This window comes from Homo sapiens, chromosome 13, assembly GCF_000001405.40.
Source record: "Homo sapiens chromosome 13, GRCh38.p14 Primary Assembly".
Lineage (NCBI taxonomy): Eukaryota > Metazoa > Chordata > Mammalia > Primates > Hominidae > Homo > Homo sapiens.
In genome coordinates, this window is record NC_000013.11 from 70,134,563 (window position 1) to 70,152,761 (window position 18,199).

Consider the following 18,199-nt stretch of genomic DNA (forward strand, 5'->3'; position numbering starts at 1 on the left):
AAAGCCAGCCGACAGGAAGAGAAATCTAAACATGTCTACTCAGTGCAACTTCCTATGGCAATTGCCAAGGAAAACATGATAGAGGCAAGCACTGGATTCAACAATGTGTTTCCTGAATAGAAAAGAGACAGAGCTAGATTAGCTACAGTGGCGTGCCTCAGTCCACCATGGCTAGTGGCTGCCCTTGGAAATCAACACAGGGCAACTGGCTTACATGTACCAGAATAGAAGGACTGCAATCTGTCCCCTATGAAGTCTGAAGTACCAAAATCTGAGGGCATATCTGAGGGCCACTGACACACATGCTTGGCCTGGATAAAGGAGGAGCACACCTTGAGTCTGAAACGGGAAAAGATATCCCCACACGAGGTGATAAGCCCAGCACAGGCTGTGTGGACTCTTGTTCTCTTGGGATGGAAGTGTTTCAGGCCCAGTGCCCATTCCTATTCTTATGTGGCTGAGCAGAAATCAAAGACTGCAAGGACGAGACTACCTAGCCCAACAATCATAAACTTCAGTTCTGAACAGAGGCTGCAAGTCCACCCAATCCACTTTTCCTCAATTTCCTTTTCTTTGCCTGACTTTTTCTTTATTATCATTTTGAGTATTCCAGAAACCCATTATAAGTCATTACTTCACTGCAGTCACAAGGTCCCTAAGGGAAGAACTTGCCCCTCCTTTTTTGGGCCCCTATGTGACACGTCAGATCTTTAGTTCAGGTTTGTCAATACTATTTCTCCACTTCTTTTATAAGCTATTAATTCAGTTTCCATGACACCAAACTCCTTATCCTATTTCATTGACCACATGGTTACTGTTCTCATTAATTATTGTGTCTTTTACTTAATGGCTCTCTCTCTCTCTCTCTTTAATTTTATCTTCTCACTCTACACTCCCTTTTTTGATAAACTGTCTATTCCTATGGTATACTTGGCCATCGTAATTGTGGTAATGTCCAGATTTCTATTTCTCATATCACCTTCTTCCTTGAGTATGGACTCATGATTCTGCTTCCTACTGGGAAGTTCTGACAACATCTATAATTTACATGGGTCCATATTGAACTTTTTTTCTTACATTCCTTTCCCTTAATAACAGCACTTCTTATCTGCACTACTATGTACAAATTTCATGATAGGAAATCCAAGGCAGAATTATCTTGGTGACACTCATGGGTGTACCACTATTAAGATTCTTCTGTCACTCATTTTTTGATCATGAATTTATAGTGACTAACCAGATATATAGTACATGACATAAAATTGAATCAATTATCTAAAAAACAAAACAAAACTACCAGTGGTAAATGGATGATTTTCAAATATGGCATTTCAGGCTGTTATAAGAAAACTTTTACACAAATTAAATTAATGATATTTATCTGAGCAAGAACAATTGATAAATTAGGCCGCACTCTAAAACAGAACAGATGCAGAGAGTTCTGCTGAACAGTGTGAGCAGTGGGTTTTTAGAGGCCAAACACAGAAGCAAATTAGAAAATCCTCTGATTGGCTACAGGTAGGTGTCTGACTTATTTGTTGGTGCAAAGAGGCATTTCTTTTGCGGGGGCAAGTCTGATCAGTTGTTTGCCTGTGATTGGCTGAAGCTCAGTTGTATGTAATTGGTAGAAATCTGGCTATTTGTTATGAAATAATATTCTCCTAAGTTAGATTTTGGTTTATGTACTAATTTAGGTTGCAGTTCGTTATATAGCAACTCAAAGTACAGGGATAGCCTCAGACATTAACTGAGGTCTCCTATTTTTTAATTTAATAATACAAGAACAGTCTTCCAAGATCCAAATACACATTTTAAAATTCTGTACATCTATAACTTCACCACATCATATCCAAATTGTATCCTACTTTTTTGCCTTTTATATTAATATTTATAATAAAATTTGTATAATATTAAGTATAATTATTTCATTTAATAGTATTCACTTAATGGTACTCATGCCACTCATTTGCCCAAGCTAAATCTTACAGTCTTTCCAGTTCTTACAATTTTAAAAATCTCCTCGTATTCAGGAAATCATCAAGACCGCTAGCAGGAGAACTCCCTTACAGACCTAGACCTCCCACCTCTAGACTCATACATGAGAGAGAGAGAAAGTTTTGCTTTTCTCAAGACACAGTTCTTTTGAGTGCTTCTTTTACTTTCAGCCAAACTTAGTTCCATTTAATAGGTTTTAATATATACTTAAACAAATTATTATAGTAAAAGTAATGAAGTAAAATTATTTCAACTTACAACAATATAAAATAAACGTTTCGTAGGGAAATGAACAGAACTACTTAAAACTTCAGAACACAAGGCTATTTTACTAGATTTTGTTCAGTTTAATAGAAGCGTGTTCCACATCACAGACAAGATTCCAGTGTTTAGTTGCGATACTGGCCAGAAGGAGGATCCCTTCTGAGATGTGATCACTGTCAAGAAAGACTTAACACATGAGAGAGATCTGCAATTCCATTGCCAATCATTCAAAGTTCCTTGAAGATCAACAATTTCATCGAGAAAGACTTGTTCTTTGAAATTTAGAATATCCAGAACTTTTCTTACATAATAGCCTATAAACTTCAGTATAAAACAATAATCATTAATAGTCACTGGTTTATTTCTTTAAAAATCTTGTCAAACAATTTTAAAATTCAGCGGAATCGCTCCTTAATGCAATTAAGATGTTTAGCAGCTTTAAGTAGTTATCTTAACATTTCTGTATCTCCAGGGTCAAAGTGTCATATTCATGGCTAGATTTTGTAGCAAAAGCAGCAGTTTATCTATGTGAAACACCTCTTATTGGTTCAGCTTATCTCAATATGTTATTTCTATGCCATGGTGATATTTGCTATGAAAGCACTGATATATTTTAGAAGATATTCTCCATTCATATGGGTCCTTCTAGTTTGGCAGAGCTAAATGGACTTCGTTATTTATATTTCATCTGACAAAATGGAAAAGTTTAGGTGAACTGACATGACCAGATTTTGTTTGTAGTACACTATTTTGATTTGAATTATTATAGATAATTTACATTTCTAAATGCATCTCTAATTCCAAAATGAAGAACTACTGTACTTCAGCAATGATACTGTTTTTCTGGCTCCAGATCATTTTAAAGCAGGTTTAATAAGGACCCTGAGAATTATCTCAACTGTGATAACTGCTGTGATATTTGCAATAAAATGTTATAAAATAACTACTTAATACTTACTGTATTAGTCAATTCTTACATGGCTATAAAGAACAACCTGAGACTGGATAATTTATGAAAAAAAGAGGTTTAATTGACTCACAGTTCCATGGTCTGTACAGGAAGCATGGCTGGTAAGCCTCAGGAAACTTACAAACAAGACAGAAAGTGAAGGGGAAGAAAGCACATTTTACCATGGTGGAGCAGGGGATAGAGAGAGCAAAGGGGGAAGTGCTACACACTTTTAAATGACCAGACCTTGAGAGAACTTATTATCACGAGAACAACATGGCGGAAATCCGCCCACGTGATCCAATCACTTTCCACCAAATCCCTCCTCCAACATTGGGGCTTACAATTCAACATGAGATTTGGGTGCCGACACAGAGCCAGACCATATCGCTTGCAATGTTTCCCCCTGTTGTGCTACATTTTGTTTATCAGGACTATTGCAATTTTAGACTTGGCTTTAACAATACATTAAATTTAATTCAGTTACTTGTACCTTCAAGAGATTTTTCAGGCTGGATAGCTCTGATCCTGAAGATGAGACCAGATTTAAATTAAAAAAAAAAAAAGTTAACTTTCATTACCAAGCTGCGAAAATCTAAATTTTAAATGTTAATTTTTTATCAAATTTGTTAATTTTATTTCATTTAAAGCTGAAAATTTTAAAATGCAAAAAATAGGTTCTATTGTCATTGTGTTTTGATCTGGGTTTTATAAACCTATCTCATTATATTTATTCATTCAGAAAATATTTATTGAGTGTCTCAGTTCTAGGTGCTATAGATTTATTAATAAACTCAACAGACACAAATATTTGGCAGTTTTGTTCACAGTCACCAATAATATTCATCATTTCAATATTTAGCTGTTAAAAAAATTAATCACTAATATAGTATGCATTCCAAAATGAAAGAGGAGAGAGGAAGGGAACATAACTAAATACCAATCTATACTTTCTATATTTATACAAATTCCATACACTAAACAATTATTAGTAATTAGAGGTAACATTTTAACCTTTAATTTAAAATAATGTAAAAATTCATAATGAAGTCTAGTACACGATAATTCTCATTAATAATTTAAATAATTTATACCAAGTAGTTATAGTGGTTGATTCAATGAAAGACTTATTGGAATTCATGCCTATAATTTATAAGATCTGCCACCCTACCAGCCTTACTGTTTTTCTCATTGGTAATATTCATGAAGTCACTGGTAATTTTACATTTTAAAATATGCAGTATGAATTGCATATATAGTACTTCTTAAATGTCAACACATTTATCTTAAATCATTTATCGAAGTATGAGAAGTACCTATCATATTTTGGTAAATAATACCTTTAGGTTTTTCCTAGTTCTTGGCTCCAGACTAACCATCTTGACCTGTCATTCTAGTTTTTACTTCTGAGACATTCTATAGTCTGTGTCTGATATTCTCTACTATTTCCTCATTTGTCCTTGCATTCAGATTGCCTTTTCTGACTCCCAGCTTCCACGGAGAGATTAACTCTGTTGGCTGAAGCCCTATTCCCAATTCCTTGGCTAGACCCTGGGTCCTTCATGTTAGAAAACCTGGCTTTACTACTACTACTACTACTACTACTACTACTACTGCTGCTGCTGCTGCTGCTGCTGCTGCTGCTGCTGCTGCTGCTGCATTTTTTAAAAATATATTATCTTATTTTACTATTTGATGTTATAATTGTTATATATTTTTCCACACTTCCTCATACTGCTTATCTCTTACTTAAGAATTTATGAATAAAGAATTGATTTTTCAATACATCCTTCCAAAAATTATCTGATGTTGAGTTAGTTGCTCTCTCTTGTGCATTCTCAGTCCTCACAAGCCTTTCTCAAACACAATGTTTATCAAAGAAAATTGTAGCAACCAATATACTTAGTGGAATTTCTCACAGAGTTTGAGTGTAGGAAACAGTATTCACTGTATATTAGTCATTTTGCTCCCAATAGAAGGTGCATAACATAAATTATTTAAGTGGATGAATGCTTTATTTTCCTTTATAAAGGTACCTTCTTGCTTCACTGACATTTCTATACAACTATTCTTGTAAGCAAGGAATGAATTCCTAGCTCTGTTTTTTAATCACGATTTTTGAAAGTTTTGGATATTTTCAAGGTTTATGATGTTTTAATGTAGACATATTATAGATTATAATCTGCTGGAACCTAAACCCATATAGTTCTCCCATACACCAAAAAATAAAAAATAACACACTCTAACTTTTAAATTTAGTAGCTAGTAATTAGGGCTACAACTCTTCATAAAAAATTCTCTGACTGAATCAAGAAAAAGTCAGAGCCTAATTATTACTCTGCACTAAAAGTAGGAGCAGTGGTAGAAACTGATGGAGTTAGTATATTACAAGTACATACTGAGTCAAACTATGCTAAGTGCTTTGAATTTATTATTTTCATGTGGAAATTATAATAAAATATGACCAAAGTGTTCCTCTGTCAACAATAAGTTATTTATTTTTGTATTTTCTGACCATCTTAAAAAGTTACTGGAGTAAGTATTCGATAAATTTGAAGAATTTATTTTTATTCATGTAATAACAATGTCCACTCTACTTCTTCACTAGGTGAGCCTATCTGTATCTTAAATACTTTCATTCTGTATATGCACTGAGTTATTGTAACTAATAATGCCAAAATTTAGGGCATGTGTTTTAAACAATGTGTAGAGTTACTAATTTCACTTCCCCTAGAATTTGCTTACCATAACACACACACACACAAAAAAAAAAAAACGGAGAAGAAATGTTAAAGTCATAAATAAAAGTAATTCAATGGTTCATAGCTATGATAACACTCATAGAATGTCTTCACCCAATTATGTATAACTCAGGAATCCTCTGAATGTGTATTCCTCTTTAGGCACTTTATCTCTTCTGCAGATGAACTTTCTTTGTTTTTCTATGCATGTGGTGAAAAATGGTTTTATATCATTTTCCTGATTTAATGCCCCCTAACCCTGTTTTAGTAATCTCAAATTCAAATTATTTGAAAGAAAAAAAAAAGACACTGAGTGTTCCAGCTTATTCTATGAACTGGTCTTTGTGGGCCAGGTTTCTACTTGAGATCAAATAAGCTATGGTCAGTAGAGACAAGGCTATCTACGATGGACATAGTTGTAGAGGTCCACTCCTGTATGTGTTGGGATTAGTGATTACAGTGGATAAACTGAGTCTCATTCCTACCATAGTTGAACCATTTACTTGTAGTCTGAACAATAAAAGACTATATTTAGTTTTTATATTTAGTGATGAGTTTGAAGCCTTGATAAGCCTTCTCAGGCACTGTATTTTCTTGCTGTACATCCTCAAGGCTTCCCTAGTTCTTACAGTAATTTTATGTGAATGGGAAAAAGTTGATCCTTCCTCAAGTTTCTTTGCTCTTATCTGTTAAGACTATCATAACAAATACCTCTTTCGTCATCGATATATTTTACTGCTATCTCCTGGAAATATGTTGTAATAAATATTAAATCTATAGTGTCTGTAGTTTGAATAACACCTCCTTACATATTGCACAGTGTTCAACTCACCCAACTGCATGTGGCAACCCCTACAGATTCTTACCATATATTTTTTGTTTGAGTGGACATTTGGCATAATGAAAGTATTTATAACTGCAAAATATTTTAATCTTTCAAATATATTTTTGGAACATCATTATTTTATGTGTATGGAACTTATTATTTGCAGAATACAAAGAGGATATAGTATCCCCTGGGAAAAAGAAAACTTATAATGCCTTAACCAATCTGTAAGAAATTTATATATACAAATATGTGTGTATATATACATATGTGTGTGTGTACGTATATATATAACCATTTCACTCTCTTAACTTTAAAGTGTTGTTTTGTTACTTTTTGCCCCACTCAAACTCCAAAAAAGCCAGGAAACTGATTATAACATTTTTATTCATTCATCAAAATGGCAAAAACAGTATTCTATTTATAAGGAATACTGGTTATTAAATATTACTTATACTATATTAAAAATAGAATGTTTCAGAAGGTCAGTATGATAAAACCAACACACATATATACATACATATATATGTATATGTATATATAATTTTTTTTGTTATTGTTGAAACAGAGTTTTTTGCTTTTGTTCCCCAGGCTGGAACCCAATGGCAGGGTCTCGGCTCACTGCAACCTGCACCTCGCGGGTTCAAGCGATTTGCCTGCCTCAGACTCCTGAGTAGCTGGGAGGACAGGCACACACCACCACACCTGGCTGATTTTTGTATTTTTACAAGAGACAGGGTTTCTCCATGTTGACCAGGCTGGTCTCAAACTCCTGACCTCAGGTGATCCACCTGCCTCGGCCTCCCAAAGTGCTGGGATTACAGGCATGAGCCACCGTGCTTTGAACACATTTTAACATGTACAGAATATGGGTATTTGTGTGTTTCTAGTATAAGTCTGTGAAAGACAAATCTGAATAAAACTTTGTGATAAACAAGTTTATTTATAACTTGGGGTTATGAGTCCACTGGGCTTTAGGCTAAAGCTTTTCTTCCAAGGTTCTTAACATTTCATTTGCATTTAAAATTGTTATTAATTTACCTTTAAAGGGGTAGAGATTGTCACCTCTTTTTATAACGCTGAATACAGTTGATTCAAAACCTTTCCCTCAGGAAGGATGTAGGTTTACTTTAAGTCCTCATTAGAGCTATGTTTTAGCAATTGTGTAGTATGATGTTTGTATTACTTTATATGTGTTAGCCTGCAAGGTGTGCCCTCAAACTTTCTTTGTATGTCTATGGCTTCATAACTGCACCATGGAAATAGTAATTACTTGTTGTAATCACCATTAGACAGTGTTCTTGACTAACTAGATAGCCTAGATCTTAGGAGAAAAGTCCTTTATATTCTGTACCAGATTATCTTGCCAACTTTTGATTTTTTTTTTGGAGAAGAATACTTATAAAGGTAACCAATATGAATAGATACTACACTGCAATGTAAATTCATAAATGCGGCCGGCCGCAGGGCTCATGCCTGTAATCCCAGCACTTTGGGAGCCCGAGGCGGGAGGATCACCTGAGGTCGGGATTTTGAGACCAACCTGACCAACATGGAGAAACCTCCTCTCTACTAAAAATACAAAATTAGTCTGGTGTGGTGGCACACGCCTGTAATCCTAGTTACTCAGGAGGCTGAGGCAGGAGAATCCCTTGAACCCGGGAGGCAGAGGTTGCCGTGAGCCGAGATCGCGCCATTGCACTCCAGCAACAACAGTGAAACTCCGTCTAAAAAAAAAAAAAAATCGTAAATGTACATGACATTTACAAATACAGAATGTTCATGTTACTACATTTAATCTCTTTCTAAATACTTTACCAACTTGCTGATAAAATAATTAAAACAAGTTTGCATTTGAAATATTAGATTCTATTTTTCTATTTACATCCTTCTTTTTCATGTTCTTGGATTTAATCTAAATTTCCTCAAGTGAATTTCCCTCTCCTTTTCCTTTCCTCTAAAATGCTTGTTGCCCTGAGGTATCACCCAGAGGAATTTACCTATTGATGATGATGAGAGTCTTCTTTCAAATTTGAAGCATCAGTAATAAATCTAAAAAAAAATGGTACTGGGTTTATTTAAATTAGTTCCTTATTATAAACCGATTTCTCTACCTCTGCTGGTGTTCTGTGCTCACGTCAAATGAAAATTAAGGTTTCTTTCCTTACTATGATATATATACTTTCTGCAAATTTGAAATAAGTTCATGAATAAGTGAGGCTGATTATATTATCTTAGTGTACCTATGTGTGTACCTGTATGTGTGTACCTGTGCTTAATTAGAGAGAACTTAGGTTGAGCGGTGGGTACCTCACCTCTGTTTTATATTTTCTGCACATAAATGTTTTTTACTATATTGCAGCAAATCTAAATAATACATATACTACTGGAACTCTATGAAGATTTTTATGGCAGAATTCGTGTTTAAGTGCTTGATCTCTCTAGAAATAAGTTTTTATATTGGAAGACTTCCATTTAAGTTTGGGAGTATGGAAATTAGTTATTTTTCACAAAGTGTGTTGACATGGAAATTAATAGCTATATTTTAAAATGATTTAATGATATATTGAGAAGATTAAAATAAATTCTTATTTACGAATTTTGTTTTTATGTATAGCCAAAGCGGTATGTAAATTAAAAGATTAGATCATTTGATTCTATACCTTTATTGGTTTTTATCAGAAAATAAAACTGTCACAGAATGGTTTTGGGAAAATAAATTGGGACTACTGTGGTGAAGCATATAATCCAGTGTCTGACACAAAATCTTGATAAATATTAAATTTTAATATTTTTAGTTTTCTTATTGCCCAGAAATATTTGTCTGTGTGGCTTTCACATTCTTCATCCCATTATCAAAATGGCTTATCACATATGCACTGTCTCTTATTAAGTACAATTTTCTCCATCCGTTTACATTTCGCATAAATACTTCCCATTTCATAGGTCACCTGGAAATTCTCCCTCTTTGCGTGACCTGTAATGTGGCTCTAATTGTCATTACTAATTTTTTGAACTTCTCTAATTTTACATATATCACCTGTTTTTTGTCCTAGTAACCTAGTTGAGTAATTATTTTTCTTATTTTTATTTTCTGAATAGAAGTTGCAAAGTGTCTATTCATTTTTATACCCAATAACCTGGCATAGAGTCCAATATGTAATATTCCACTGAATTCAATCAATGTTTTCAGTATGTATGCAAATGGGATACTTCTTTTTGTTGAGTTTTAAGAGTTCTTTTTATATTTTTAGATAACAGTCCTTTAATATATCTTTCCCAAATGTTTTCTACTAGTCTGTGCCTTGTCTTTTTATTCTCTGGCAATGTCATTCTCATAGCAGAAATTTTTAATTATAATGAAATTCATCTTATCAATTTATTATTTCATGGGTTGTGCCTTTGGTAATGCTAAAAAGACATCACCAAACTTAAATCATCTAAGTGACCCACTCCTATGTTTTCTTCCAGGAGTTTAATAGTTTTCCACCTTACATTTAGATCTGTGATACATTTAGATTTATTTTTTCAAGGGTATAGTATTGCCTTGTTTTTGGCTAGGTAGATTTGTAAAGAAAATTTCTAAGTGTGTAATCCAATTTCTTTCTATGTCAAGGTGTCACACCTTGCCTAAAAAGTGTTGTAGGTCTAACATGTAAGTCTTTAATCCATCTTGAATTAATTTTTGTATAAGGTGTAAGGAAGGGATCCAGTTTCAGCTTTCTACATATGTCTAGACAGTTTTCCCAGCACCATTTATTAAATAGGGAATCCTTTCCCTATTTCTTGTTTTTATCAGGTTTGTCAAAGATCAGATGGTTGTAGGTATGTGGCATTATTTCTGAGGGCTCTGTTCTGTTCCATTGATCTATATTTCTGTTTTGGTACCAGTACCATGCTGTTTTGGTTACTGTAGCCTTGTAGTATAGTTTCAAGTCAGGTAGCGTGATGACTCCGGCTTTGTTCTTTTGGCTTAGGATTGACTTGGTGATACGGGCTCTTTTTTGGTTCCATATGAACTTTAAAGTAGTTTTTTCCAATTCTGTGAAGAAAGTCATTGGTAGCTTGATGGGGATGGCATTGAATCTATAAATTACCTTGGGCAGTATGGCCATTTTCACGATATTGATTCTTCCTACCCATGAGCATGGAATGTTCTTCCATTTGTTTGTATCTTCTTTTATTTCATTGAGCAGTGGTTTGTAGTTCTCCTTGAAGAGGTCCTTCACATCCCTTGTAAGTTGGATTCCTAGGTATTTTATTCTCTTTGAAGCAATTGTGAATGGTAGTTCACTCATGATTTGGCTCTCTGTTTGTCTGTTATTGTTGTATAAGAATGCTTGTGATTTTTGTACATTGATTTTGTATCCTGAGACTTTGCTGAAGTTGCTTCTCAGCTTAAGGAGATTTTGGGCTGAGACAATGGGGTTTTCTAGATATACAATCATGTCATCTGCAAACCATAAAAACCCTAGAAGAAAACGTTGGCAATACCATTCAGGACATAGGCATGGGCAAGGACTTCATGTCTAAAACACCAAAAGCAATGGCAACAAAAGCCAAAATTGACAAATGGGATCTAATTAAACTAAAGAGCTTCTGCACAGCAAAAGAAACTACCATCAGAGTGAACAGGCAACCTACAAAATGGGAGAAAATTTTCACAACCTACTCATCTGACAAAGGGCTAATATCCAGAATCTACAATGAACTCAAACAAATTTACAAGAAAAAAAAAAAACAACCCCATCAAAAAGTGGGCAAAGGATATGAACAGACACTTCTCAAAAGAAGACTTTTATGCAGCCAAAAAACACATGAAAAAATGCTCATCATCACTGGCCATCAGAGAAATGCAAATCAAAACCACAATGAGATACCATCTCACACCAGTTAGAATGGCGATCATTAAAAAGTCAGGAAACAACAGGTGCTGGAGAGGATGTGGAGAAATAGGAACAGTTTTACACTGTTGGTGGGACTGTAAACTAGTTCAACCATTGTGGAAGTCAGTGTGGCGATTCTTCAGGGATCTAGAACTAGAAATACCATTTGACCCAGCCATCCCATTACTGGGTATATACCCAAAGGGCTATAAATCATGCTGCTATAAAGACACATGCACACGTATGTTTATTGTGTCACTATTCACAATAGCAAAGACTTGAAACCAACCCAAATGTCCAACAACGATAGACTGGATTAAGAAAATGTGGCACATATACACCAGGGAATACTATGCAGCCATAAAAAATGATGAGTTCATGTCCTTTGTAGGGACATGGATGAAACTGGAAACCATCATTCTCAGCAAACTATCACAAGGACAAAAAACCAAACACTGCATGTTCTCACTCATAGGTGGGAATTGAACAATGAGAACACATGGACACAGGAAGGGGAACATCACACTCTGGGAACTGTTGTGGGGTCGGGGGAGGGAAGAGGGATAGCATTAGGAGATATACCTAATGCTAAATGACAAGTTAATGGGTGCAGCACACCAGCATGGCACATGTATACATATGTAACTAACGTGCACATTGTGCACATGTACCCTAAAACTTAAAGTATAAAAATAATGAAATTTTAAAAAAAGTGTCATAATATATCTTGATGTTAGTAAGACATGTTTATTAAGTCTAAAATACAGTATTTTCAATGATTTTTCATATAAAATTAAGTATGTGTTTTTGCAAATGGGAATGACTGTGTTGTGTGCCTTCTTTTGGATATGTTTCTGAAAAGCTACAAGTGGATTCCAAAAGAGTGAAAATAAGCAAGTCAAAATACAATGTATTGTCTGAAGACAATGAATTATATAAAGATAATACAACTAACTTCGAAAAGGGACTTGCGTTCTAGAAAAGAAATATTGTTCACTGTTTTAAAAACTAATATAAGAATGCTAATTAAACTTCCCATGATGTGAATTTATAAAACCTGCCAAAGTTATAGAGAAAATAAGTATAATTTGAAAGGACTTTGACTAATTGGAATTTTCTTTTTTTTCCTAGTTCTATATCTGGATAAAGTGCGAAGGAGCTTAAATCTGTTGAAACCCAAAATTTGCCTCCGTTTAATGGCTTAGGTGAGTCTGTCATTATATAGATGGAGCATATGTTACTCTCTTCAGTGTTTTCTTCACTGCCAATCCTGTTTCAAATTGTATGAGTGATCGAAATTGAGCCCGCTGACATTCTAATCAAGAGAAAAGAAGTATATATGGTGCCCAATTACCTGAATCAAATTGATTTACTCATTTATTCTTCCTTATGTTTCAAAAATAAAGATGTCATTAATCCAGATTTTAAATATCAGAATGTATTATATAACATTTCAGTAGTAAACCAACAAATATCTGAGACAGGTCTCTACCAAGTTAGAGGTTTATTTTGCCAAGGTTAAGGACCATGGCCTGTGACACAGCCTCGGGAGGTCCTGAGAACATGTGCCCAAGATGATACAGCCTCGGGAGGTTCTAAGAACATGTGCCCAAGATGGCTGGGATACAGTTTGATTTTATACATTTTATGGAGACAGAAATTACAGGCAAAACATAATACATGTAAAGCATATATTCATTTGGCCCAGAAAGGTGGAACATCTTGAAGCGGTGGCTTCCAGGTCATAGATGGATTCAGATTTCTGATTGGCAGTTGGTTGAAGGAGTTAAGCTCTGTCTGAAGAGTTGAAGTCAGCTTGAGTTAAGGTAAGACTGGAAGAGAGTTGTGGAAGCCAAGGTTCTTATCATGTGAAGGAAGCCTCCAGGTAGCAGGCTTCAGATAGAATAGAGGGTGAATGTCTCTTATCTGACCTTAGAAGATGTCAGACTCTTATTGAAATCTTTTATGGATCAGGAAAAGACCTGCAAAGGGAAGGGGATTCTCTACAGAGTATAAAATTTCCCCACAAAAGATGGCTTTGCAGGGCCATTTCAAAATATGTCAGTGAAATACACTTTGTTGTAAAATACTTTGATTTCCTTTAGGGCCTGTTATCCATCAAGAGTCGGGTTGGACTTGGCATCTTATTAATACAACGAATCTCTTCTGTCAGTCTTAGGATCTCTCTTTTAATGTTAATATTGTTCAGTTTTGTTGAAACTCCAAAAGAGAAAGGATATGAGGCATGTTCAACACCACCTGTCTCATTGTGGCCTGAATTAATTTTTCAGGTTTCTTAAGAATCTCCTAGGCTGAGAGATGGGTCCACTCAATAAGATGGAAGGGGGTATAATTTTAATTTAGATTCATAAATAAAAAGAAAAATTATTTTTCTACATTCCTTTTTCTCTAATAATATTTTTATTTTGTTTTACCATTTGAAATTCTATGGTCAAAAATTTCGTAAACTAAAATTTCTCCTGAGATTCATTTTAGAAGAATTTTCTAGGCAAGTGTTTTTAGTCTCTATCAAGAATTTGTAGCTGTTTTTATTATTTAAGAAAACAAGCAAATGAAAATATGTGATCTTTAAGGGCCAATATAATATTTTATTCTATCAATAGGCTTATGCAGAACTGATTTTGGTAAAGATTACAGCAGGGTATAGTTTTAGAATTTCTGTCTCAAATGCAAGTTGGAATAACATTCTATAATTTGCTTTTAACACACACACTTAATGAATGTAAATATGAATCTCAACTAATAAAAGAATGAAAAGAACATATTTTTCTTAGATGCTTTTCTTCAGAAACATGAAAAACCCTCACACTAGTTTTTGGTCTGAATTAGAGATAGTCTATTTAATGTTGATGCCACTGTGTGAACATTTTAGAATAATTTAATATTAATTGTTTTGCAGTTTCTTCTGTCTAATGGTAACTGGAATTTCCCTTTCTAATTGTGTATTGAAGAACGAGAACGACTCATGTTTAAGTGTTAGATGTAAGTCATTTCATAATTACTCGTGCACTTCAAAAACAACAAAAATAAAATCAAAATCATAGATTATATGGAAAGCTCAATTCAAAATTTGTAAAATGTAGCATTTTGTTGCATTTTATAGGAAAACATAGGATTGTAATAACATTAAATTATGTATATATTTTTACTCTTCATTAAATGAAATTTAGAGACATCGTCAATCATTAAGTTGCATTTAGTGAGGTGTTAACAGAAATTAATTCATTGTAAACATAATAATAAAATGAATGGAGCAGAATTACCGAAGAAACTGTTTCCTGGAATCCTTATTTTACACACATAATACGAAAATAGCTATAAAAATGTTGATTTTATAATATTGTGTCATAACTATAGACTAGCAGTCAGAAGACATTTACTTAAATATTTACTGAATATCACTATTATCATGATCCATAACAGATTAGCAGTAGGCAATCTGGAATAACAACAGCATGCCATCGGGGAAAAGGCTGGAAATCTTTCAGCTACTGCTGGGGCTAGGGACATTATCTGACTAAAATTTGGCATGCAAGGAATGATTAGCCATTCCAATTAAAACAACCACTGTGGGTATTAGTGAGGGTTGAAGGATACATCAAATAAACAAACAAAAACTTTTTTTTCCTTGTGGAGACTATTGCTTATGTCAGTTAAAAAAAGAAATTAAAGAGGAAACAATGAAGGCAGAGAGGAAGTGAGGAAGGAAGAAATAGTTTTCCTAATACAGAATTCCTGAACTAGACAGACTTTCTTACCTTCTCACAGACAACCTTCTATGGCTTCTGTAGGAACATCTCAGGTCTTCCCTTAAACACGAGTGATGTTAAGAACAGAGAAAAAGGGACACTTTCTGCAGTAGCTAAGCTCCCAAGTAAAAGAAGAATTGAAAGAGCAGAACCATTCTTGCCAGCCTTCCTATCCTAAATTCATATTCAATGAAGTTACTCCTCCTATTCATGAGTGAGGAAGTGACAGAGAAGGGCTAAGACTACCATGATAATGGATGGGCCTACTGAAGGAAGATAATATCAAGAGTGGAGATTGTTTTCCCCAATAACTTCTCTATTCTAAGAGGAAGTATGGTCAAGTTTGTTTGAAGACAGTGATGAGCTTGGGTTTGAACAAGGGTAACAACAATTGCCTAGGAATATATTACAGGGTGTAACAAGAAAGACTTCATGAACTTTCCAGGCTTCCATGTCTATAATTGAAGATGTTAGACCAGAAAGAGATTATAGTTTTCTATGTGTAAGGTAGGAGACTGCAGGCTACTGAAAAATGATGTAGACCCAGCTCCCAATGTCTGGGTATATATACTCTAGGAGAAGTGGTAAGACATTAAACAGACATTCCTTCTCTCTAGATTGACTTTGGCCCAATTTGATGTAAATACTCTAGTGTCTGTTGAAAGGCCTAATAAGCACATCTTTCTAAAGTAATTACTGACTCCTCTAGGAAGTATTTAGTGATTCCTCTTTGAGCTCACACATTGATGGAGTATATTTCTACTACAGGAGTTATCAAATTATAACACTACATTGCACACTATTCACCTGGGTGCAAAGCCATGCTTCACTACCACAAAACTTGTCATATTCATTTTATTTAAAAAACTATGTGCATTTCACATTAAAAGAAAGAAAAATAGAGTTGGCATTTTACTAAGTTGCTCAAAGAAGGTTCGTGGCAAAGCAGGCATTGGCACTATATTTTTTTAAAAAACAGCTTTATCAAGGTGTGATTGATACTCAAAAATCTGCACATATTTAGTGTATACAATTTGATGAGTTTGGACATGTGCTTGCACTGGTGAAACCATCGCTACAATCAAGGTAATAAAAATATCTATCATTTCCAAACACTTGCTTGGGCTTGTTTTTTGCTTTTGTTTGTTGTTGCTGTAAAAGCACAACATGAGAGCTACACTTTTAAATTTTTCAGTGCACAATACAGTATTATTAACTTACAGACACCATGTTGAACAGCAGATCTCCAGAAATTATTTATCTTGTAGAACTGAAACTTTCTATACATTGCACAATTCTTCATTTCTTCTTCCACCCTTCCCCCGGCAACTGACATTCTATTATCTGCTTCTGAGTTAGACTATTTTAGGTATCTAAAAGAAATCATACAGTATTTGTCTTTCTGTGACTGGCTTATTTCACGCAACATAATATCCCCCAGGTTCATCTATTTTTGCTGTAAATGGGGCTATATATTCCTTTGGAGAGAAAAATGAATGTATAGAGAAGAAGGAAGTAAAGGCACAAGAAACAGCTTGAACAAAAAGATAGGAAGGTTAGTTGCAAGTCAATAATCTGTAGAAAATTACAAGATATTCAAGATAATTACTACATAAGTTCGAATGTAAAACAAAAAAGAAAACCAGCAATAGACAGCTTTGAATGTCAAGCTAAGAAATAGGGTAACATATACTTTAGTTAATTGGAAGTCACTGAATAGGAGGGAGCGATGATTAAAGTTGTATTTCAACAAGAATTTAACTTTATATATGTTTTAGAAGTCATCCGTAATAACTCCAGTGAAGAGTAATAACGACCTGAATTAGTGGATTTGTTAGAACTCTAGGCGTGGTGATCACTGGAATGGTAAACATAGAATCATTTTGAGATATATTATTGAGGTAAAATCAGTAAATATAACATTAATTGATCATTTCACTCATCAGTTTAAAACCCTTCAATGGTTTTCACCTACTACACTTAGCATACATTTTATAGTCTTTATCTTGACCTACAAAATCCTTAATAACTTAAACCTTGCTTACCTGTTTCCGTCCTGTCATCTTATGTCACTTACTTCTGCCCTTTATGCACTGCTCCATTCATAATAATTTCCTTATAACTTCTCTAAAGCTCTTAGTTTCTTTTCCCTAAGTGCTTTCACTGAGACAATGAATTCACATGGGATGCTCCTGTTTCTTTCCACCTGGCCAATTTCTACCTATCCTTGAAGTTCGAACTTGAAGTCTCAGAAAGGACTCTCTGAGCTTCCCATCTAAGTACCCTATACTTTGACCTTTTAGCACTATTTATGTTTTCTTTATATCGTCTATCCCAGCTGTACACTCTGTACCTGTGTGTGTGTGTATATATACATATATATGTATACATATATATACACATATATACATACAAGTATACATATATACACATATGTACATATATGTGTATGTATGTGTATATGTGTATACATGTATACACATATATATACACACACGTGTATATGTGTGTGTTTAATTGTTGTATTGAAGTTATTTGGGTCTCCCTTTGCTCCTATAGCACCATTGATTTAGGGCTTTTTTTCACTTAATTCATCATGCATGATGCCCCTATGCCTAGTGTAGCACCTGGCATGTAGGAGATGATCAATAAATGTCTTATGATAAACAAGTGAGATTAAGGAAGCCTCTCACGTCTTTTAATTTAGCAGTAGTTATTATCTCTGTTTCAAATATTCTGGGTTTCATCTCCAGAAGTGATTATTTATC

At 34.3% G+C, this 18,199-nt stretch overlaps 1 non-coding gene across 8 annotated transcripts in view, besides 4 other annotated features; it reads left to right on the forward strand.

Moving 5' to 3' along the window:
* The window catches only part of ATXN8OS (ATXN8 opposite strand lncRNA), a 64,318-nt gene that overhangs the window by 27,142 nt on the left and 18,977 nt on the right, over positions 1-18,199 (forward strand). For 3 of the 8 annotated variants that reach the window (NR_185834.1, NR_185836.1, NR_185835.1), the window contains one exon: positions 12,793-12,866. This is a non-coding gene — a non-coding RNA (ATXN8 opposite strand lncRNA). Of the gene's footprint in view, positions 1-4,678; positions 5,192-12,792; positions 14,947-18,199 lie in introns of those variants that run through there. The other 5 variants (NR_185840.1, NR_185838.1, NR_185839.1 and 2 more) reach the window with 3 other exon arrangements.
* Positions 4,790-4,821: a tandem repeat, noted in NCBI's record as "nucleotide motif; polymorphic, but stable (CTA)n repeat".
* Positions 4,790-4,867: a biological region, named in NCBI's record as "ATXN8 opposite strand (non-protein coding) repeat instability region".
* Positions 4,822-4,866: a repeat instability region, noted in NCBI's record as "repeat instability region; expansion of the (CTG)n trinucleotide repeat is associated with spinocerebellar ataxia type 8". NCBI's record gives the evidence for it as "EXISTENCE:polymerase chain reaction evidence [ECO:0000082][PMID:10192387]".
* Positions 4,822-4,867: a tandem repeat.